General features: G+C 37.5%; 4 annotated features.

Annotated features, from left to right (window-relative positions):
* Window positions 2,182–2,351: an enhancer, noted in NCBI's record as "experimental_82653 CRE fragment used in MPRA reporter constructs". NCBI's record gives its function as "activates a minimal promoter by MPRAs in K562 erythroleukemia cells, with activity observed for the non-introgressed 5:151807113 variant allele {active_cell/tissue: K562}" and the evidence as "EXISTENCE:reporter gene assay evidence [ECO:0000049][PMID:34662402]".
* Window positions 3,131–3,300: an enhancer, noted in NCBI's record as "experimental_82651 CRE fragment used in MPRA reporter constructs". NCBI's record gives its function as "activates a minimal promoter by MPRAs in K562 erythroleukemia cells, with activity observed for both the introgressed and non-introgressed 5:151806164 variant alleles {active_cell/tissue: K562}" and the evidence as "EXISTENCE:reporter gene assay evidence [ECO:0000049][PMID:34662402]".
* Window positions 17,669–17,838: an enhancer, noted in NCBI's record as "experimental_82645 CRE fragment used in MPRA reporter constructs". NCBI's record gives its function as "activates a minimal promoter by MPRAs in K562 erythroleukemia cells, with activity observed for the introgressed 5:151791626 variant allele {active_cell/tissue: K562}" and the evidence as "EXISTENCE:reporter gene assay evidence [ECO:0000049][PMID:34662402]".
* Window positions 18,495–18,664: an enhancer, noted in NCBI's record as "experimental_82644 CRE fragment used in MPRA reporter constructs". NCBI's record gives its function as "activates a minimal promoter by MPRAs in K562 erythroleukemia cells, with activity observed for the introgressed 5:151790800 variant allele {active_cell/tissue: K562}" and the evidence as "EXISTENCE:reporter gene assay evidence [ECO:0000049][PMID:34662402]".

Below are 24,149 nucleotides of genomic sequence, written 5' to 3'. Positions count from 1 at the left end.
GACTTTACTCCTATAATCAACATTTCTTTCTCCTCACCATCAATTTCCACCTAAATATGAAATCATTACCAACAGCATGCAAATATGTTATAATTTTACATGTATATGCATATATGTAAAATATTTAAAATATTTCCATTGACCTCATGTCTCTCTCCAGCTATTTTATTTCTCTACTCACTTTCAGAGAAAAAAAAGTACATGTAATATTAGTATCTTTTCACTTCTTCATATTCTATTCACTTTTTAACCCACTTTGGGCAGGTTTTTCTCCCCACCACTACATGAAAGCCACTGTTATCTGGATCACCAACAAATCCCGTCTTGCTAAGCCCACTGTTAGTTCTCCATTCCAATCTGTACTCCCCGTATCTTCTCCTTCTGGTTTCTCTTCTGCCCCAGGAATTTTGCTGGATTCTTTTCTGACCTCACTAACAACTAACCTAAATTCTCAACTAACCTGAATAAAACATGAATTGCTACCAGGTTAGCATGCTCCTTATTGTAAAAAAAAAAAATGCAAATTGAATGATAGGCTCTTATTAAAAACAATTTTAAAAATAATTTAAAAAACAGTGAGACTACAAGGAATATATCATGTAATAATATTTCAGGTATTATTGCAGGAAATTTTGTTATTTATTAGCTGTGGGGACATAAAGTAAGTCATGTCATTTCTCAGAGTCTCCATTACTCCATCAATAAATGAGAAGGTTCATGTTAAGAAACATTCTAAGACCATTTAGTTTAGAGTCTGAGACAGAAACTCTAAGAATTCTTTGCGAATGAGATGTATTATTAGTCAGTAGCTGAAGCCAGAACCAGAATTGTGTGAACATTAAAGAACTGGCCATATCATTGGTTTGAGGGAGATACCACAATTCAATGATCTGTCAAATATGAGAGAAAATAGCAGCCACCAATCTGGCATTATATCAGGGCCCTGGAAAGCATGGTCCAATCACAGAACTTGGTTGAAATATGCTTCCTCCCTGCTTCTCAGAGCATGAAATTTATTTAATAGGAAACAAGGGCTTTCATTTTATACTTAGACATAAGGCATATAACTCAGAGTCAGATAAGTAGGGGGAGGGAAATAGAGGGCACAGGAAAAAAGCTAGGATGTACGAGAGAGACATCTCAGGGGAGGTGAAGACTGCAAGGGCCAGGATTTCCTAAAAATGTCACCCACTTCATAGTTTTGCTACACAATCACTTTCTGGTTTCTGTGATGTAACTGAGAAAATAATAACTACTTTTATATAATACTTTGTAATCAGCACTCAACAGTTTTTAGATAATTCAGAAAAATTAAAATGTCTATTATTTATCCTCTTATAATGCCAAATATTCATTAGTCTATTTGCTTTATCATTTCAGAGCAGAAAGGGACCTTAAAGATGACAGACCAAACATCAACTTCACAGATGATGACACAGAAGGTGAATCTACTGAAAAGAGGTAATACAAACTAGAGCATCTTGATCTGGATTGGAATCCTCCAGTTTTTACTCAACCACTGAGAGAAATACAAACAGTAAATAATGCATGTTGATTGGTTACTATGTGCCAGGAATATGCTAAGTATTTACATGATTATTTCATTTCACCCTATCAACTTGAAAGCTTTTTACTCTTATTACACATCTCTCACAGATGAAGAAACACATATTTAAATTGTTAAGTCATTATCCCAAGTCATGTCAGATTCAAATCCAGGCTTCTAATTCCACAGCCTCGTCTCTTACCACAAGACCATACTTCCTCTGTCTTGCCACTGGGTGCAGGGTAATGAATATTAAACACTGAGTATATGTGAAACATTTTTGCTATCTTCAAAACTGGCTATAAATGCAGACCTTCCTGCCAAGGCTGAAATGTGTGTAATCTGACATGAAGTAGGAAATTTGGAGGAGCCATGCTGGGAAAATTCTGGCAGAGCTACAAAACATAGCATATGGAGAACAACATGAGGACATAACACAGCTCACTTCTGTTTTCATCAGCACTTGTGGCTCCCCAGCTACTCCAGAAAGCACCCAGCACAGCAAGGCCATTGAATATATTGTTCATTGGCAACACATTTCGAAGCTTCGTTTCTCTGTAGGGATTGTAAATTTTATAGCATGAATATAAACTAGTGGGAGTTCTTTTTTAATGAATGTACCCACACTTTAATCCAGATGACCCGTACTATTTTAGAAGTGGCTATTTTATGATGCTGCCTAGGTTAATTGACAGAAGATAAACAAGCAATATACGTTAGATAATATTCTAGGTGGAAAACATATTTATAGCTTATCAGTTCCAATCTCTTCACTACAAAAATGGGAGAAATTGAGGTCCAAAAATAGGCATCTAACTTTATCCAGGATCACATTTTAAGCTAAAGGCATATCTAAGTCTGGAACTCAGATTTCCGGACTTCAACCTACTGCTCTTATCACTATAAATGTTAGTTTAGTAAGTTGTACATGCCAAGTTGAACATATACCTGAAGCAGACAGAGGGAACATGTAAAAGGAAAGACAACGGAGAAGAAGCATGTCTGATGGAGACCAGAAAGTGACAACCACAGAAGGGAAGAGCCCTCTCTGTTTGAAGGGAAAAGAGTAAGTAAAATAGTTACAGTTATTGAACATTTTTACCTATGATGAGCTAAAGTGCTAAGAATGAGTGACTTATTTACTCATTTAGCAAATTTTACTGAGTGCTTACTAGGTGCCAGTAATTGTGCTGAGTGCTGAAGATACAACCATAAATAAAATAGATCTAGTCCCTATTTTCATAACATTTTACATCCCAAAATGATAGACAGACCAAATAAAATAAGTCAGGTAAATATAAGAGAAAAAAAATTCATCAAAAAAGTCACAAGTTCAGAGTGCTGTTAAGGTGCCAAACCAAAGACTGAAACAGAAAATACTACAGTATATTGCTTTAGGTAGAATTCAGGGGAAAGTCTTTAAGCAAGAGACACTTAAGCTAAGAACTGAAATATGAAAAATAGGCAGTTTCGCAAAGCCACAGGGCAAAGAACATTATAGGCTGAAGGAGCTGCATGTGTAATGACCATGAGGCAGGAAAAAAAAAAAAGCAAGTCAGAGCAATGGAATAACTCCTCTGTTGCTGACATGCTTTGGTTGAGGGGGATGATGGCAAAAAATTAGGTCGAAGAAATGGGCAGGTGGTCCCACACCACTCTCAAATGAAGGATTTTAAGTTGGGGATCAACATCATTCTTTTGTATTTTTTGAAGATCACTTTTTCAAGTTCAGATGGGCTAGACCAAAACCTAGCTAGGACCAAAATGTAGGTATCCCAATTACGTGCATGGTGATCCTGAAAAAGTCTGTTTTCTCTTACATGTTTACCTGATAGTGGGAATGTCAAGTGAGTTGACAAATATAAAATCCTTTTGAAGAAACACTCAAAGCTGAACTGAGGGTAGGGAGGACGCATCCTATATTTTCCCCAGACTGTCCCAACACAAATGGATGCTCATTGAAGACTGGAAAAGATGTCAGCTTCTTACCCAGTTCTCTGGCACTATTCCATATCTTCTGTACAACAATCCTGACAAGACATGCAATTCTGACCTATACAATGGAAAGCAGAGGTTGAGAGAGCTTAAAATGATTTCTCTATCAACAGGGAGTCAGCATTTGTTTCTAAGACTCTTGATCTATCCCAAACCTTAACTATAATTCTTATTAAGTCTCTTCCCAAGCAGGAAGCTCTTAAGATCTTCAGGCTTGACAGTTGCTTAAAATAAGTAGCATAAAGACCCAAACTAATCTTTCTGTTAATAAAAAGATAAACATTTCTGCCAAGATTTACCACTGTTCCTAGGGGACCCATATGGCTTAGTTTAATTCTAACTAATGCAGTACCCCAAAATGCTCTGATATCCTTAGGATGTGAAGTTACAAAAGACTCACTGTAAATAGCACTTGAACTCTAGAAGGAAAAGACAGAAATATATCAAATGATGCCCTATGCTAATGGATTTGAAAGACTAAGAAACAAAGGTAAGAGAGTAACAGGTCCTGCTGTCAGCTTGACTGGGATACCTGCTGATAAGCCAGCTCTGAGCACTGATACTGTTCATCTTCTCAAGGCTTCAGGTCCATAAACAATACCTTCTAGAGTGAGCCATGCTTCATTAGGAGGCTTGGGTCAGTGGCTTTAAGTAACTAAGTCAAGGCTAACATTTGAGGTGGGGAAAGGGGGTCTCCAGATATATTCCCACATCCATTAATTTCCTTCCCATTGGGGAAGAAAAGATGGGTTCTCTGAAAGCCTTTGACTAAAGAAGCAGAAACTAGTAGAAGGGCTTGTCAGACAAAGAGATAGAAGGAAAAACAGATTTTCATTTCAACTAAACCAACCTGCCTCTTGTTTGCTGGGTCCCTTAAAGGCACTCTTCTATCTCTAGGCCTTGTTTCCTCATCTCTAAGAGAAAAATTCAGCTTAGATTATGTCAAAGGGTCTTCTGTTCTAATATAGACAGTCTCCAATTAGTGATGACTCAACATAAAATATTTTGACTTTACGAGTGCAAAAATAATATAAATTTGGTAGAAACCATAACCTCATTGTAAGTTGAGAAACATCTGTAGTTTGTGATTTTATATACAAACACTCAAATTAACTACTCTATATAGGTCATGAATCTGAGCTTTTCTAAAGGTAATAAAGGGTTTACAAGAAGCCATCTACACATTTCTCGGTTCTATCTGTTACTAGTGGTGCCCATTTGTGATACTTGGAGTACAGCCTACAACTGTGCAATAGAAAATAACAAACAAGATTGTCAGCCCTTCAAGGAACTGAGCTATGTATTTGCTAACCTGGAAATCTTCATCAATATGTTCATGAAAAACAGGCTAATTATAGTAAAATGAAACAACCATGTGAGAACCTGAATCCATTCCATTTGCTGCTAAGGGTTCATCTCCATTAACTCCAACAACCCTTCATTGAAGCATATACGTTAGGAATATAGGAAAAAGGTTTATGACTCCTGTTGCTAACTCCTTACTGCTCTAGTGCCCCTAACTAAGGATAAGTACACATTGGTCTCTGCTCGGGCCTATATTCCAGCATCACCATAGCAACATTTTCCCATCCATAAAGCATGAGATGGTAATGAAGACAACTGCTGTATAATGAACTGGGCATAAACAAAGGCAGAGCTTCCAAAGGGTAAAGGGGAAGGAATAAATGCTTGCATCTTGGCCTTATCAGAAGGATTTCCCTAGGAGAGAGAAACATATTATATGTACTTATCAATGCAATATTAATATATTGACATATATTCTTAGGTCAAGACTTCAAGTTGAATGTTAAAGACATGTTCATTGCTAATTTGTGACATTCTCATCAGGTTTGGCACCTGTGGTCTACTATAAATTGCATCTTGATCATCCACATATGCATTTTCCATGATTTTAAGTGTGCCAGTATATGGGAACTCATTTGGTGTTGTGTGGATCTCTGACTGGGGAGTTTTATTTTTCTTTAGGATCTAAGTTTATCACTTCTCCACTTGCAGAAGATAAATAGGAAGGAATGAAAGAGCTAAAACTCTTTTGCAGGTAGAGAGATCATATCAACTGGGGAGACCCAATGATATTACTTCATCTCTTTATTCCCACCATGCAGCACAGGCCTTGTACTTCATAGGCACTGGTCAATGTGTATTGGATGGATGAATGGATGGATGAATGGATGGATAGATGGATGGATGGATGGATGGATGGATGGATGGATGGACAAATGAGTAGACAATAAGCATAAGGTTCCTCTTGCTGCCACTCCTATTGTGCCCTTACGTCCCAGTTCCAGTAAGTACGTAGTATCTGGTTACTCTGTGCCTGACTCCTCTGGCTGGGCAATTTGTCTGGTGCTGCTGGATTCTAGGACTGGGATGTAGCCATTGTATTAACATAACTAGAGTCTTGCCACTGTAGCTCTCTGCTGATGGATTTCCTTATTGCTGCCTTCCTGCCTGAACAACACAAGTCACTGCTCCAGGATTTCTATAACTCTATACAACTTACTACTCTTTCCCTGAACCCTAACAGCAAATACTTGATGGCACTTCAGCTTGCTGCTATCATCTTCCCACAGTATATTCTACCTGCTGGACTAGAATTTTTCAAAGCACGTTCACCATTTCTGTTTCTATCCAGTAGTCATAATCCCATCCAGTCACTTCAGAAGCTGCACATCTAAAACTACTACCCAGACTTGTGGCAGAAGGGAAGAGCTTCCATGTCTCCTGATGTTCTCTATCTGGGATCCATTCTCTATGAAGAAGCTTGGAATGTTTATTTTGGATAGTCTCTCCCTGAATAGCCAGTGCTATATAAGACAATTCAGAAAGTACTACTTGCTAAATTGAAATTTATTCAACACCCTGACTTTTCTATTTCATGGCCATCTTCTCTCTAATGACAATCTCTACTTCATCTGGGTCACCCTGTGTTATACCATACCCTAGACCTTTCCTTTAGTCATAACTACTTTACTTCCAAAATCACCTATTTATACATCTCATTGAGATCATAATCTTCTATTCTTCTAGTTTGCTTCTTCAATTATTCTCATTGTAACTACCTGTTTGTTAATCCTTCATTTCTCCCCTTTCTTCTATTTCCTTCTCTTAATCTCCATGATTATTTAAAACACCCTTAATGGCAACTCCATTGTTTCTCTATTTCTATTCTTTGATTTTTTTTCATTATGCCTTTCAAGCAAATCTGTATCTCTATTTGTAAAACTTTATCTACTGTCTCTATGACTATAATCAAGCAGCCATATATGACTGACTGAAATCACATTATTAGGAAAAGTACTTGAATAATAAATTCATGCTTTTAAGGAACACCAGTTATCTTGTGGCGCCAAAGCACCTACATCACTCACCACTCTCCTCACTAACATGTAGCTCCTCAAGAGTAGAGAGACCATGTTATTTACCATATATTCCCAAGGGCCAGAACAGTGGCCGCTCACCAAATGTGTGTTGCCTGAGTGTTTGACCAGCCTAAAGTTTGTCCCCATTAAACTTGAAATTTTTCCCTATTAACTCAGTTTCCCCTTTGCTGATATGAGTAATTGAGTATTTCCCATTTGCTGATATGACTAAGTCCTCAAAGTTCTTCCGGGCCACCTACCTTTCTTTTATTCTAGTCCCATTAAGGGGGACACCAGCCCAAAGAGGGCCTTTATTGTCACCAATAAACTTAAAACTTTTCCCCATTAACTCAGTTTCCCATTTGCTGATATGACTAAGTGACAGTTTCCCATTTGCTGATATTATCAATTCCTCAAAAATTTCCCTGGCCCCTTACCTTTCTTTCATCCTAAGCCCCTCTCCCTCTCACCTCCTTGATAACTCTCAGCAGAAGCTCTTGCCTTGTACTTCACAACGAAACCTAGGTCACCTTCTTGTCTGTTCTCTTTCCCCAGGCAACTCACCCACACTGACAGTTTTATCTCCTACAAAGAAAGTCTCAAGCATTACAATCTCTGGTTTAGGCCTCCTTTATGAATTCCAGGCCTTTTTATCTAACCTCCCCTGGATTATCACACTGGCTATCACAAAAGTATATCCAAGCCAGCCAGTTCAAAATTACACATGGTTTTTTGCTCTAAGCTCGGACTCTTTTAGTGTTCTTTATCAATGAGAATGAGCCCACCATCCATTCAATTATACCAGTCAAAACCTAAAAATCATAATTGACACTCTCTTCTATACCCTCCATAATCCACCACATTTTTCTGTTGTACTTTCCTAAATTTCTCCTACATCTGCCCACTTCTTTTTCCTCTAATCCATAACCCTAGTTTAAGCCCCCCTTATTTCTCATACATTCCTACAATTGGCTCCAGATATATCTCATATCTACTCCTAACCCCTCCAATGTGTTCATACTACAGCTGGACGTATTGTTTCAAAATGTAAAACTGGTCATATCACTCCCATGTTATGACCTAATAGCTTTACATTGCTTTTAGGCTAAACACCAGAAAACTTAAAATGACCCATAACATCCTGCATGGTTACAGCCCACTCTCCAGGCACTTTCCATACATAACTCCCATTTTCTCTCTATACTCCAGCCAAATTACCCTCCATTTGGTTTCTCAAATGAATCATGCTTCTGCTAGAACTGCAACCTCTTCATATGGATACCTTTGTCTAAAATTTTCTCCCTGGGCTCTCTTCACCTGATTAGCTCCTATATATCCTCTAATATCACCACATTCATGACTTACTCAATCTTCTCTGTCCTGCCAGAGAAGGCCAAATCTCCACAATACATATTCCCTGAGACTTCGTGCATTTCTCTTTCATCATAGTTATTCCAATTATAATCATGCAAGCATAAATTATAATTACATTCTAATTTTAATTGTCCATCAATTTAAGAGTTTATTTGAATAAATGAGTATCCTGTCAGTAGATTCTCAACTCCATGGGGGCAGAACTGTACCAAGCACAGTTTCTGACAAATACCTTAAATATTAATAAATGAAAAAGTACTCAACAAATGGTGATGGTGACAGTACTAATAGTGATTTTAATACTAGACTAATAACATGCTTTCTTTATAGACAGGCCAATCTAGGGAAAGAGAATACTCTCAACCCAAACCCAGCTATCTTCTCATATGTAGTGAATCACAACTATGTTCCCATTTTTCTGCATCCTAAACACCCTCAGAACTTAGCATGGCAGGTCAAAGAGAAACACAGCAATAAGGATATAAAGATGTAAACGTCACAGCTCAGGTAGTGGATCTCTGTAGTTATTGCCTGTCTGGCTTCTTCCTCCCTTTTTCCAGTAGAAACCTGGTCCTTGTCTGCCAATCACAATATTAGGCAAGAAATCTAAGCTAAGACAACTCTGTTCTTTCCCCGGGGAATTTAACCCTTAAGCAGAAATCCAAAGGGAGATAATATAGAGTTGAGCCCCAGACAACAGTGTAGTGTCCCAAAGATGCTAATGCTCCCAAGTATCTGCTGCTCGGCTCCCAGAGCTACCCTCGTTTCTTTCCCACCCAAGACTAGGCTATTTATCTCATCCTTTAATTCTGTGAATCACCCAGTATTCTCCAATTAAATAAGTTGTAGAGCTTTTTTTTTATTTGCTTCTGCAGCATTATTAAAGCTTTCCATTAAAGAAAATTAACTGATATATAATCCATAAACTAAAATTCATATAGAACAGATCTTATCTCATGCCAAAAATATACCTTCTTTCCAAGTTTTCATACAACATTTACAAAAATTGATCATATCAGAGCAAAGAGAAATATCTCAATAATTTTAAAAAGCAGAAATTATACAATCAACATTTTCAAATAAATGATTTCAAAAACTCCTAAAACTTAATCATATAAAAAAAGACAGACACATAAATTGCCTTCAACGAAAATGTCATTAAAGAAAAAAGTCAACGTATGTATGCCTTCTATTTTTAAATATTTTAAACCACTTGTGGGATGACTACCATGTACCAGTGTATCAGCCATTGATCAAATCTTTTCATTAGTAGATTAGCCTCCTTGAACTCTTAGTGCAAGAAAACAGCATTTATTTAACGCTTACTATATACTAAGCCCTGTACTAAACTATTTATATTCATTTTGCCATTTAATCCACACAACAATCCTAATGAGTTATAAATTATTAACACCATTTTACTGATGAGAAAATTGATGCACAGATACAGAATGTAACTTGTCCAAGGTCACATAGTTTCAAGCAGCAAACTTAAATCTTGGTCTGCCTGACTATAGAGTTCAAGTTTTCCTCACTACATTGTTAATTAATTTAGTGTTATCACTAAAAAACAAAAACTATGACAAAAACAGCAAACCGCAAGAATAGAAAAAAAAACTATGGGAAACCTAATGATCACAAATTAGATCTTAATGTCACACAGGAAGCTAGCCTGCTCTCCTCCTTTCTGTTTTTCCTCCTCTTCCCTTCATGTGTAAACCTATCCACTCATTGAAGCTTGACTCGGTATTCTTCGCACTTTTTATGTTGCAGCACTGTGCTAGTCATGGGAGTAGAGCAGTGAACAAGTTAGATAGTGCCCTGTCTTTACAAACCATATCATGCTGATTGGAAATACTGACAATTTGAACAAGAAACTATAAAAATCTCCGGAAGCCTCAAGCATTTTTTTTCAAAGTATTATTGAAATTCACAACAACCCTGTGAGTAGGTGAAATAAAAATAATTGATGATTTTTAAATCCATATGACATTGAAGCAAACCCTCATTATATCACATATAGACCCCTTTGGTGGTGGAACTGGGATTTATATACAGGCTGTCTGACTGCTGAGATTAGAACTTTCATCCACTGTTCTTCCTCATTTTCTCCTATAGCCTCAATCATAACCCTAGATTCTTTATTGAAATAACCAATGACAAACCTCAGCTCAAAAGTCTGAGGGAGAACTAATGAAGAGCATATACCTGTTGGCATTCTTAGTTTATGTTCCTTCTGACTTCTTAGTTTATATTCCCTCTGACTTCAGCTCCTGTTCACGTTACTCTTGCAGCCTGCTTTGCTACCACTGAAAAGACTCCTTCTGCAATATTATATTCTCCCCTCTCCTTGCTTTTGTTGTTTGGCCCTAAGGACAGGCACCAGATCAATTTAAAAAGCAGGTTGTTTAATTTCGGCTGTGTGTGTGTGTGTGTGTGTGTGTGTTTGTGTGTGTGACAGATTGAGAAAGAGAGAGGGAGGGAGGAGAGAGAGAAAGGAGAGAAAGACAAGAGACAAACACAGAGATAGAGACAGAAATAGTGAGCTAGAGAGAGAATGAACCAGCCTAGGCAGAAATTAAGGTAGGAAAAAGTCATCAATTTTTATTTTAACCTGGGACAGGTCACTGTCCTTCTCTAACCTTCAGTTCCTCTTGTATAAAATAAAATTGCAAATTAGATGATCCCTGAGTTTCTTCCAGCTCTGAGAGTCAACAGCTCAAAATTGATCCTGTATTAAACAACATCTATTTCTTCCAGTATCACCTCATGTACCTCTGAGAACTTGATGCAAGCATGACTGGAGTAGTTTGAAAAACCCTAACAGCCTCGCCAGCTAAACGGGATCTGCTCCCCTGACATCGTGCCCCAAGTTCTCTGCTTTGGACATCATTCCTAGACTCACAGGAGCATACCAGTTCAGAAAGAACTATTGAGGTCATCTAATCCAGCAGTCCTCACACTTTCATGTGCAAACAAATCTCCTGAGAGTCTTGTAGAAATGTGCACTCTGATTCAGGAGGTTGAGCTGGGCATGAGATTCTGCAAGTCTAACAGGCTCCCATATGATGCTGATGCTGTTGGTCTGCAGAGGACACTTGAGTAGTGAGACATGCATTCATCTTTGTCTGGTTTGTAATCCTTTCCAGCATCCCTGAACGGTCTCTAGTCTCTCTTAAATATTTTCCCTTCAAGAGTTCAAACACTTCTCCTGTCTCAGCCTCCCAAGTAGCTGGTACTACAGGCATGCACCACCATGCCTGACTAATTTGTGTATTTTTAGTAGAGATGGGGTGTCACTATGTTGGCCAGGCTGTTCTCAAACTCCTGACCTCAAATGATCTGCTCACCTAGGCCTCCCAAGGTCCTGGGCTTACAGGCGTGAGCCACCATGCCCAGCCTGGAATGGTATCTTTTATTCTCTGTTCTTTATGGTGTTGCCAAAAGTCTAGTTTTCTATTTATTTATTATTTACTCAGGACAATTTGTGTGAAAAGACATTTCAAATAAAAAAATAAAAATTGACCATGAAACATTAAATAATGATCAACTTTAAACCAAATTAAGATGACAACGTTATGCCTCAAAAAGGAAAAATTGATAGGGCCCAACATTATCAAGGATTTAAGGGCTTGTGCACTCTCGGTCCTTTTGGTAAAACTGTAAATTCAAATAGTCCTTTTAGGAGAACTAAAATGTGAAAGATGAATGTAACTTTTCTAATATCTCTAAGACATGCTTTAAAAGAAGTGTTAAAAAGAAGTACAGTTGTTCCTCTATATCCAGAGATTCCACATCATTTAATTCAATCAACTATAGATTTAAAATATTCTGAAAAAAAGACAATGAAAAATAACACAAATTAAAAAACAAAACATTATGACAACCATTTACATACCATTTACATTTTATTAGGTATTATAAGTAATCTAGAGATTATTTAAAGTATATGAGATAATATGCATATATTATATGCAAATATTATGCCATTTTATATAAAAGACTTGAGCATACACAAATTTTGGTATCCACTAGGGTCCTGGAACCAATCCCCTGCAGATAACGAGGACAACTGTGTATTAGGATTAGTTTTCTTAATCCCATCTTTTTGACTCAAGAATTCTACTTCTATGAATAGGGTTATTGAAAACATTTTCATCCCAATCAATTTTTTCTCCTTTATTTCAAAACTGGTAATGCAACTATTACTACTGTAATGCAAGCACTTACCATGTGCCAGGTACATATATTAATTTGTAATGACCTTGAAGTAGATATTGTTATTGCCCCATTTTTTAAACTTTTAATTTAGGTTTGGGAGTACATGTGCAGGTTTGTTATTTAGGTAAAATAGTGTCATAGGGGTTTGTTGTACAGACTATTTTGTCACCCAGGCACTAAGCCTATTTATTTTTTCTATCCTCTCCCTCCTCCCACCCTCCACCTTGAGAAGGCACCAGTGTCTGTTGTTCCCTTCTTCATGTCCATGAGTTCCCATCATTTAGCACTATTTGTTTTTTTGTGTGTGTGAACTTTTGAAAACACTTTATTTTATTTTATTTTTTATTATTATACTTTAAGTTCTAGGGTACGTGTGCACAACATCAGGTTTGTTACATATGTATACATGTGCCATGTTGGTGTGCTGCACCCATTAACTCGTCATTTACATTAGGTATATCTCCTAATGCTATCCCGACCCCTCCCCCAACCCCACGACAGGCCCCAGTGTGTGATGTTCCCCTTCCTGTGTCCAAGTGTTCTCATTGTTCAATTCCCACCTATGAGTGAGAACATGCGGTGTTTGTTTTTTTTGCCCCATTTGTAAGTGAAAGCATGTGGTATTTGGTTTTCTGTTCCTGTGTTATTTCGCTAAGGATAATAGCCTCTAGCTCCATCCATGTCCCTGCAAAGGACATGATTTCATACTTTTTTATGTCTGCATAATATTCCATGGTATATTTGTACCACATTTTCTTTATCCAATCTGTCATTGATGGGCATTTAGGTTGATTCCATGTCTTTGCTATTGTGAATAGTGCTGCAATGAACATTTACATGCATGTGTCTTTATAATTAAACGATTTATATTTCTCTGGGCATATACCCACTAATGAGATTGCTGGGTCAAATGGTAGTTTCTGTCTTTAGCTCTTTCAGGAATTGCCACACTGTTTTACACAATGGTTGAAATAATTTACTCCCACCAACAGTGTATATGTGTTCCCTCTTCTCTGCAACCTCGCCAGCATCTGTTATTTTTTGACTTGTTAATAGCCATTCTAACTGGTATGAGATAGCATCTCACTGTGGCTTTGATTTGCATTTCTCTAATGATTAGTGATTTGAGCTTTTTGTCATATGATTGTTGGCTACGTCTCTGTCTTCTTTTGAAAAATGTCTTTTCATTTCCTTTGCCCACTTTTTAATGAAGTTGTTTTTTTCTTGAAAATTTAAGTTCCTCATATATGCTGGATATTAGACTTTTGTCAGATTCATAGTATACAAATATTTTCTCCCATTCTGCAGGTTGTCTGTTCACGCTTTTGACAGTTTGTTTTGCTGCACACAAGCTCTTTAGTTTAATTAGATTCCATTTGCTGATTGTTGCTTTTATTGCAATTGCTTTCAGTGTCTTTGTCATGAAATCTTTCCCCGTTCCTATGTTCAGAATAGTATTGCCTAGATTGTCGTCCAGGGTTTTTATAGTTTTGAGTTTTACATTTAAGGCTTTAATCCATCTTGGGTTGATTTTTTTACATGATGTAAAAAAGTTTCAATCTTCTGCATATGGCTAAGCCAGTTATCCCAGCATCATTTATTAAATAGGGAGTCTTTTCCCAATGTGTTTTTGTCAGCTTTGTCAAAGATCAGATGGTTGTAGATGTGCAGCCTTATTTCTGGGCTGTCTGTTCTGTTTCATTGATTTATATGACTGTTTTTGTACTCATACTATGCTGTTTTGGTTACTGTAGCTTTGTAGTATAGTTTAAAATCAGGTAACATGATGGCTCCATTTTGCTCCTTTTGCTTAGGATTGCCTTGGCTATTTGGGCTCTTTTTTTATTCCATATGAATTTTAAAATAGTTTTTTATAGTTCTGTGAAGAATATCATTGGTAGTTTTACAGGAATAGTACTGAATCTGTAAATTGCTTTGAGCAATATGGCCATTTTAATGATATTGATTCTTCCTATCCATGAGCATAGAATTTTTGTCCATTTGTTTGTGTCATCTCTAATTTCTTTGAGCAGTGCTCTGTAATTCTCATTGTAGAGATCTTTCGGCTCCCTAGGTAGCTGAATTCCTAGGTATTTTATTCTTTCTGTGGCAATTGTGAATGCGATTGCATTCCTGATTTGGCTCTTGGCTTGGCTGTTGTTGGTGTTTAGAAATGCTAGTAATTTTTTTACATTGATTTTTTATCCTGAAACTTATCTCAATTTGTTTGTCAGCTGAAGGTTGCTCCAATTTTTAAAGGGGTAGAAATAGTGACTCAGAGAGGTTAAGCATCTGCTTAAGGTCACACAGCCAGTAAGTGTGAGGCCTAGATATTTGGCAGTCCTGCTGCCTTTATTTTCTTTCTATCTCTTCCCACCATCTCTACTGTCACTATCTAAGCCCAAGTGACTGTTATCCCTTATTTAGACTAGTGAAATAGCCTATATCTCCTCATCTTTCCCACCTCCATTCATTTTCTCCCTGCAGCCAAGAGGGATCTTTTTGAAAATCATGTCTTTCCAGTTTAAAATGTTTCATTGGCTTCTTTAATAGCAAAGAGAAACAAAAGTAAAGGCCTTAGTATGGCCTACAAGTCTCTGCATGGTCCTGATCTCACAGTATGCTCCCCAGGCTCAGTTGTTACCTGTGGAGGGTGTCCAGGTTCTTGGCATCCTGAACAAAGAATTGGACAAAATGCACAAACAAAGCAAGGAAAGAATGAAGCAACAAAAGCAGAGATTTATTGAAAACAAAAGTACACTCCACAAGGTGGGAGCCCGACTGAGCATAGTTGTTTAAGAACCCAGTTACAGAATTTTCTGGGGCTTAAATACCCTCTAGAGGTTTCCCACTAGTTACTTGGTGTACACCCTATGTAAATTAAGTAGTGGCCTACAATCATTCTGACTGGTTGTGGAAAGTGACCACTCAGAGGCTGAAGTGAAGTCACAAAGTTATACTCCTCTAAATAAAGACTTGGCCCAAGACCAGCCTGATTGGCTGTGGGAGAAGACCAATCAGAGGTAGTTTCAGTTTTTCATCTGCCATGCAGAAAAAGGGGAGTTGCAATGGGCATAACCTGTGGTCCTTTTGATACTTAGGCGTGGAAAGTTGGGGTTTTCCTTTTGATTTAGTTCTAGGAAGTCAGCATGAATCAGCCTTAGGTTCCCTGCCTCCAGACCCTATTCTCCTGCCTCACAGTGGCCTCCACACCTCCTCCTCATGGGTACCAACCTCTCTTCCCTCCCTGGACGTTTGCACATACTCTTTGCTTTGCCTAGAATGCTCCTCTTCCAACTCTTACCTCCAATGCTTCATGTTGTGAGTTTCTACTCTCTGATCTCTGCTCTAGATCACATCTCATAGCATTCCTAATAAAGTACCTCTCTTGCGTGACCCTGCTATAATTTTACATTATTATATGATTAGTTGATTAGTCTAAGTCATAACCATACCCTGACTATTTTTGTTCAAAATACCTTTCACCATGCCTGGCACACTGGTGTTATCTACAGGTAACCTTATTATATAAATAATACTAATATGAAAAATTGCCACTTACTTTATCCTGCAAGCTAATTTACACCAGAACAATCTGTGTACATTTACAATCTGTTCTGGTGTAAACACTTCAGTGCAAAATACTTCGACAAGTTCTATTAACTTGAGTGCATAAAATTTTATTTTGTAATTTAAATGGAAAAGTCCCTTACATTGTGAATCCCAGAACTGAGTACATGTCAGCTATGGACTGACCCTTGGGTGAATATATTGTATCTATAGGAATACTCTGTTTAAATGTAGGTACCCCTTAAATGCATGGCTCAGTAATTTATGTGAAAATAGCATAGCTTTTGTGACATGGTGATTCTGAGCCGTAACTCACTGCAAAGGCTCTGCATTCAGACAGCAAGTGGTCAGGTCCTGTACAAGTACCTGTGGCACTGATGAAAATTAACTGTGTGAGTTCGTGAAGCATGTAACCTTTCTAAATCTTGGCTTTTCTCATCTGTAAAATGTGGGTAATAAAAATACTTCCTCTTTGGGTTGTTGCAAGGATTAAATTAGAGAATACAAACAAAGCACTTAGCTCAGTGCCAGTCGATCATGGAAGCTGGCATTGTTGATGATGATTTTTCCTCACAGAGAAGAGATGCTTAAAGAAATAATAAGATTTCAAGCACGACTGGGGCAGGAAATTTTAGACAATGGAGGATTTTTCTCCTTTTAAATAATACCACTAGCGAGGTGCTGTCTTTACTGAGTCACGTTCTGATCTACAGAGCAATCTGTGTATTCTAGATGCGACTCAGGTATCCACTTTCATAAAGAAATAATTACCAAAGCTTCCATCTGCTAGTGTTTTAAGAACCCTTAGTCATTCTCTGTTTTAAATCAGTAAAAGCCATTGAGATTAGAGCTGAAACTGACTCTATTTCCATCAAAGAGTTCAGAAAGAAATCAACAGCCACCCATGATTCTCATTGTGGATATGTGACATCTCTTGCCACAAAGTTCACCCTGACTTTCTGGGAAACTGTGAAGGCACAGATGTATCTATAAAAATTAATCTAAATCAAGGACCTATCTCCTTTGTCTCCTATAAATCTGCTAGAGTACAGACCCACTAGGCCTCATTTAAAAAACACTAGATTGATCATCAGGGTGGAAGAATTACTGTGATTAGCCAAATGCCACTGATATTTTTGGAACATAGACGGGACCTTAGCTTTCATAAAAAATACTCTCAATTTAGTGATGAGGAAAAACATTTTAAAAAATGAACGAAGGACACAAATAGACATTTCTCCAAAGAAGATGTACAAATGGCCAATAGATATATGAAAAGATCCTCAATGCCACTAGTGTCTGTCTGCTCAAACTAGTGCAAATAGTCTTGTTCTGGTGCTTAACAGAACTGAAGATAACTCCCCTTGTTCTAGGCACTCTATTTTCATTGTTGTTATCCAAGGTCACATGAGCATTTCCTAACTCCCTGGGATGCCAATGCTGAAGAGAGCTGGAATGTTATGCCTCTGAATCAAAGTTCTGTTCCTACTAACAGAACTTTCTAGAAAATTTCTTCACATTGTTAGTGTCTATAAAATAAAAACTTTCTTATAAGATGATGATGATTTGCCTAATTATTCCTTTGACAAATGTGGTTGCCTTATATCCAATCTAGTTGCTACAAGGCCTTTTCGTTTATATTCCCTTTACTGAGTAAATCCTCATTACCCAGAACAGTGCTAGATGCTAAAGCACAAGGAGAAGTCCCTTGGAAAGATAGGATTGAGAAGCCAACACCCCCATGGTCACATCTTCCCAGGAGTTTTTTTTACTCCCCTTCAGGTGGTGGAATTTTCCATATTATCCCAGATGAAGACAGTGTAACACAAAAGTTTCCCTTCCCAGCCACAATCGACACAGGTGAAAAAAAGCCTTTGTTGTTTAAAGTCACTGAGAGTTTGGGGTTGTTACCTCAGCAAAATCTAGTCCAAGTTACTGACTCAAAACTGGATCTGAAAGTGGAGCATTGCTATAGAACTCTAAAGTATATGGCATTTGTCTAGGGGCCAGATAATGGGCAAATAAAAAAGTATTATTAGAAGCTGGAAGTGTCCATGTGGGAAACTAATAACTTGCCCTTTTAGTTTATAGGTCTCTGGAATGAGAGGATCCTCATATGGATGTGACAGAGAGAATACTGTTCTATTTTCTGCTATAAAGAACATCTTGGATGTTCTCCAGAGATCCTGGATTTTTAACTTGCAGCTGTGACTGGGCTAGGAATGTTGGGGTATCTGCAATAGAGAAGGGAGAAGAGTCTTTTGCCTGCAAGAAAGAATGTTTGTGTCCAGAGGAGCACAACATATAGTCATTAATTCTATTTACCAAGTAGTTTTGGCTTTCTCCTCCTAAGCACATAGTGAGATGGTTCTTTGTGCCCTCCTTAGAATTAGGATTTCCCATGTAACTTGATTTAGCCCTCAGATGTGAATGGAAGTGATCTCTGTCATTCCTAGGCAGAACATTTAAGTAGGGTCCCCTTGGGAATCCTCCTTTGGGAATTGTAAAAACACCAGTTGGAGCCTGAATTCCAATGTGAGATCAGTGTAGGACCGAGACTACTGGACAACCCTTGATGACATGTAGAATGAGCAAGAAATAAACCTTTATTTTAGTCTACAAAAATTTGGAAATTTTTGTTACTGAAACATAACCTAACCCAAATGACTGATATACTACGTGAGTTTCAACTATTCCCGTAATCTGCATGTGCTTCTAATGGCAGGGATAAACAAACAGCCTACCTTGTAGGCAGTATTGTAAAGATTGTATGTGCTGATACATGTAAAAGCTTACAACAGAGCCTGGAAAGAATAAATGTTCAACAGATGTTATCTAGTGTTATTGTTTTTTATTTTATAGATTTTAGAAAATGCTACTGGTACTCCCAAATCATAATCCCTTGGCCCACGTGGTTTTAGCTACAGCTGGGAAGGATGGCCCTTTGCAAGCTCAGACTTACCCAGGCTGATAGGGTTGCATCATAAGTCTATGCCACATTTCTATTTTTCTACTCCATAGCCTTCCCTGACACATGGAAGCCTATGCAACCCATGAGCAAGAATAGCCCAGAGATATAGGGGAGTTATTGCCCCAGGAGCAAACCTCAAACAATAGGGGACAGAAATTGGTGGGTAAATACTGATTTCTTATTTTTCAGGGGAACGATTGAGAGGTTCTCTCTTCACTTATCAGGAAATCTCAGTGGAATTGACTCTAAATTATTGTTCTTTTAGGTTTTCTAAATATTAGTTCCCCCTCTGTCCATGGGTGTCACCCAAATATTTTTTCAAATATTTGAAAGTGATCCTCATGCCCCACTTTTTTCCTCTGAGTCTTCTTCAGGCAAACATCTCCACTTGCATCAAATCTTACCTACAAGATATTGAGCCCCTTGCTATTCTCACCATCTTCACATAGTTGGTAAGTACAGGTGCAAACCTTGGTGACCTGGGGAACAGATGTCTATATACTTTCCTAGAAGCTATTCTGACTTGCTATACTGCACTAAAAGTTAATTAAAAGCTGGAAGTACTCCTCATTTTAGCAGCTCCAAGCACATCTCCCAGTTTTTAAATCTTGTAATAGTCTTTCTGACCCCAATAAAAAGAAAGACATCCCCATCATGAAATTATCATTATTATTCAATTGCATATCCCATTATTAAATACTTATTTAAATATTATGTTATTTAAAATAATTTACACTGAATATTTTACCAGGAACGATTTAATTCTCCTAGAAATCCTGTAAAGCAATACTGCTATTTTACTCATTTTGCTGATGGAGTAACTGAGGCTTACAGAGTTTAATTATGTTCCTTATGGTCACATAGCTAGTAGGAGGCAGAACCAAGATTTGAATCCCAAAGCTACGCTGCAGTCCGTGCCTTTATTACTTCTATAGCATCTCCCTGCATTGAGCCTGCTACTACATTCTGTACTAGACATCATCCTTTTTGATTAGACCTACCCTGTCACAATGTGGAAATGCCTTTGAATTTTAGATTTGTTGCCTCATATATTAAGAAATATTGGCTGGGCACGGTGGCTCACACCTGTAATCTCAGCACTTTGGGAGGCCAAGGTGGGTGGATCATTTGAGGACATGAGTTCAAGACCAGCTTGGCCAACATGGCGAAACTCCATCTCTACTAAAAATATACAAATTAGCCAGGCATGCCTGTAGTGTGCATGCCTGTAGTCCCAGCCTGTAGTCCCAGCTACTTGGGAGCTACTGTGGTACATGCCTGTAGTCCCAGCTACTTGGGAGTTACTGTGGTGCATGCCTGTAGTCCCAGCTACTTGGGAGGCTGAAGCAGGAGAATCACTCGAACCCAGGAGGCAGAGATTGCAGTGAGTCGAGATTGCACCACTGCACTGTAGCCTGGGCAACAAAGTGAGAATCTGTCTCAAAAAAAACTACAGAACTACAAAACACTGCTGAAAGAAATCATCAATGACACAAACAAATGAAAACACATCCCATGCTCATGGAGAACAGAATCAATACTGTGAAAATGACCATACTGCCTAAAGCAATCTATAAATTCAATGCAATCCTCATCAAAATACCACCATCATTCTTCACAGAATTAGAAAAAACAATTCTAAAGTTCATAAGGAACGAAAAAAGAGCCACATAGCCAAAGAGAGGCTAAGCAAAAAGAATAAATCTGGAGGCATCACACTACTTGAGTTCAAACTACACTATAAGGCCATAGTCACCAAAACAGCATGGCACTGGTATAAAAATAGGCACAAAGACCAAAAGAACAGAATCGAAAATCCAGACATAAACCTAAATACTTATGGCCAACTGATCTTCAACAAAGCAAACAAAAACATAAAGTGGGGGAAAGGACTCCCTTTTCAACAAATGGTGCTGGGACAATTGGCTAGCCACATGTAGGAGAATAAAACTGGATCCTCATCTCTCACCTTATACAAAAATCAACTAAGATGGATTAAGGGCTTAAACCTAAGACCTGAAACTATAAAAATTCTAGACGATAACATTGGAAAAACCCTTCTAGACATTGGCTTAGGCAAGAAATTCATGACCAAAAACCCAAAAGCAATTGCAATAAAAACAAAGATAAATAGCTGGGAGCTAATTAAACTAAAGAGCTTTTTCATGGCAAAAGGAACAGTCAGCAGAGTAAACAGACAACCCACAGAGTGGGAGAAAATCTTCACAATCTATACATCTGACAAAGAACTAATACCCAGAATCTACAACAAACTCAAACAAATCAGTAAGAAAAAAAAATCCCATCAAAAAGTGGGCTAAGAACAGGAATAGACAATTCTCAAAAGAAGATATACAAATGACCAACAAACATATGGAAAAATGCTCAACATCACTAATAATCAGGGAAAGGCAAATCAAAATCACAGTGCGATACCACCTTACTCCTGCAAGAATGGCCATAATCAAAGCATCAAAAATCAGTAGATGTTGGTGTGGATGCGGTGATCAGGCAACACTTCTACACTGCTGGTGGGAATGTAAACTAGTACTGCCACTATGGAAAATAGTGTGGAGATTCCTTAAAGAACTAAAAGTAGATCTACCATTTGATCCAGCAATCCCACTACTGGGTGTCTGAGGAAAAGAAGTCATTATTCGAAAAAAATACTTGCACATGCCTGTTTATAGCAGCACAATTCGCAACAGTAAAATTGTGGAACCAACCTAAATGCCCATCAATCAGTGAGTGGATAAAGAAACTCTGATATATATTGATATATATGGATATATCATATATGGATATCCTATATATCCATATATATGGATATATCATATATAAATACTATATAATATATATTATATATAATATTATATATAATATATCTTATATATATTATATATAATATATATAATATACAATATAATATAATATATAATATAATATAATATAAATATAATATATAAATATATATCCATATATGGATATATAATATATAAATATATTTCCATACATATATATGAATACTACACAGCCATAAAAAGGAATGAATTAACAGCATTTGCAATGACCTGGGTGAGATTAAAGACTATTATTCTAAGTGGAGTAACTCAGGAATGGACAACCAAACATCATATGTTCTCACTGATATGTGGGAGCTAAGGTGTGAAGATGCAAACGCATAAGAATGATACAATGGACTTTGGGGACTTTAGGGGAAGAGAGGGAGGCAGGTGAGGGATAAAAGACAACAAATATGGTGCAGTGTATACTGCTTGGGTGATGGGTGCACCAGGTTCTCACAAATCTCTACTAAAGAACTTACTTGTGTAACCAAATACCACCTGTACCCCAGTAACTTATGGAAAAATATTTTTGTTAAAGAAAGAAATATTTTCCATCTTCCTCAGCGCTAAGTTTATAGTCTGCCACTGTGCACCCTTATAACGATCCTTACATCTAAATGAGATATTCTCATTAAACTTTTCCTATTTCATTAGAAAAATACGTTAAAGTTTGTAAATAGTGATTTTAACATCAAAACTTGCCTTTAACTAGAGGGCCCTAATTCTGGCTCTGCAATACCTATTACATGTCTGTAATTATTATTAATGTTATTGATCAATTTTTCCTACTTTTCCATCTTCTGTGCACATGCTAAGACAGCACTTCCTGACCCTGCTGTAGTCGAATGGGTACATATGATTAACCTTGGTCAATGAGCTGTGAGAAAAACTGGCAATGAGTTACTTACTTTTGGGCTAGAGCCTATAATTACCTACTTAAGACCATCCAGAGCTCTCTTTTCCTCTATCACAATGATAATCAAAATTCCAGAGAGTGACCACTGCATCAGCCTAGGTTTATGAGTGAGCATAGCATGAGACAGACCCTCAATACATTTGAAGTACAAGAGAAATAAATCTGTATTGTTTAAAACCACCAAGATATGTCAATCATTTGTTACAGCAGCGTAAACTATCTTAACTTGAGAGATGACTTATTCTTGGACAAGTCACTTTCCCTCTCTAATTTTTAACGTCATAATCTGATTTAACAAATAAAGGGAAAAAATTAACATTTAGTGAGCATCTCTTAAGTATAAGTTGCTTCGTTATATATAATTTAATTTAGTCTTCTCAATGACCATAAAAGGTATTATCTCCTGCAAAAATATTCCTAAATCCAAAGAAATCTCTCAACTCCACTGCTCATAGAATCCAAGCCACTACTATGTCTTACTAGCCTCTTACCTACCTTCTGTTAAAATTTCTCCCTCGTTAATTCTCCAGTGCAAAATCTTTTAAAGACTTCTCCCTGCCATTTGAATCAGAGCTAAACTCTCTTCCATGGCCTATAAGAGTTTACATGAACCTGTACCTGCCAGCCACTTCAATCTAAGCATTCATACTTTGCTGACCACTTATTAAATTCCAGTTATTCTGGTCTTCCTGATATTTTTAAAACCTATCCAGCTTGTTTCTGCCTCAGGACCTTTGCACTTGCTATTACTTTTGCTGAGTAATACACTTCCCTTAGCTCTTTCATGACTGACTTCATCATTCAGACCTCAGCTAAAGTGACATCTCCTGAGATAAGTTTTCTTTCACCATCCTTGATAAATAATTATTTATCAATTACTATCTGAAATTATATTATTAATTTATTCATTTGCTTGTGTGTTTTCAGAATTCCCTACTGCAAGAAAAGCTCCACTAGGGCAGAGACCTTGTCTTGCTTGTACACTAGTGTTTCTACAAAGCTTAGAACATTCCCTGGCAAATAGTGAATCCTCAAGAAGTTATTGTGGAACGCAATCGAATTAATGATGCAGATAAGGAAATAAGCCTCTAAGAGTTTGGGTAACTGTGCCAACTTTCCTAAATTTCTATGAGTGTTCCTAATTCTGAAGTCCATTTGCCTTTTGCTTACAGCAAAGCTCTGCTGAGACTGAAGAGTCAGTTAGCAGTCAGGGCTAGGCACTGTGCATGCGCCCTTTCAGGCTTCGGATTCTATCGTTGATGCAGTTAAAACCAAAAAGTCACATTAATCATGTTATCACATTAATCCCCAGAGAACCCTGAATTTC

Source organism: Homo sapiens, chromosome 5, assembly GCF_000001405.40.
Source record: "Homo sapiens chromosome 5, GRCh38.p14 Primary Assembly".
NCBI classification, from domain to species: domain Eukaryota; kingdom Metazoa; phylum Chordata; class Mammalia; order Primates; family Hominidae; genus Homo; species Homo sapiens.
This window is presented reverse-complemented; position numbering and strand designations above follow the sequence as displayed.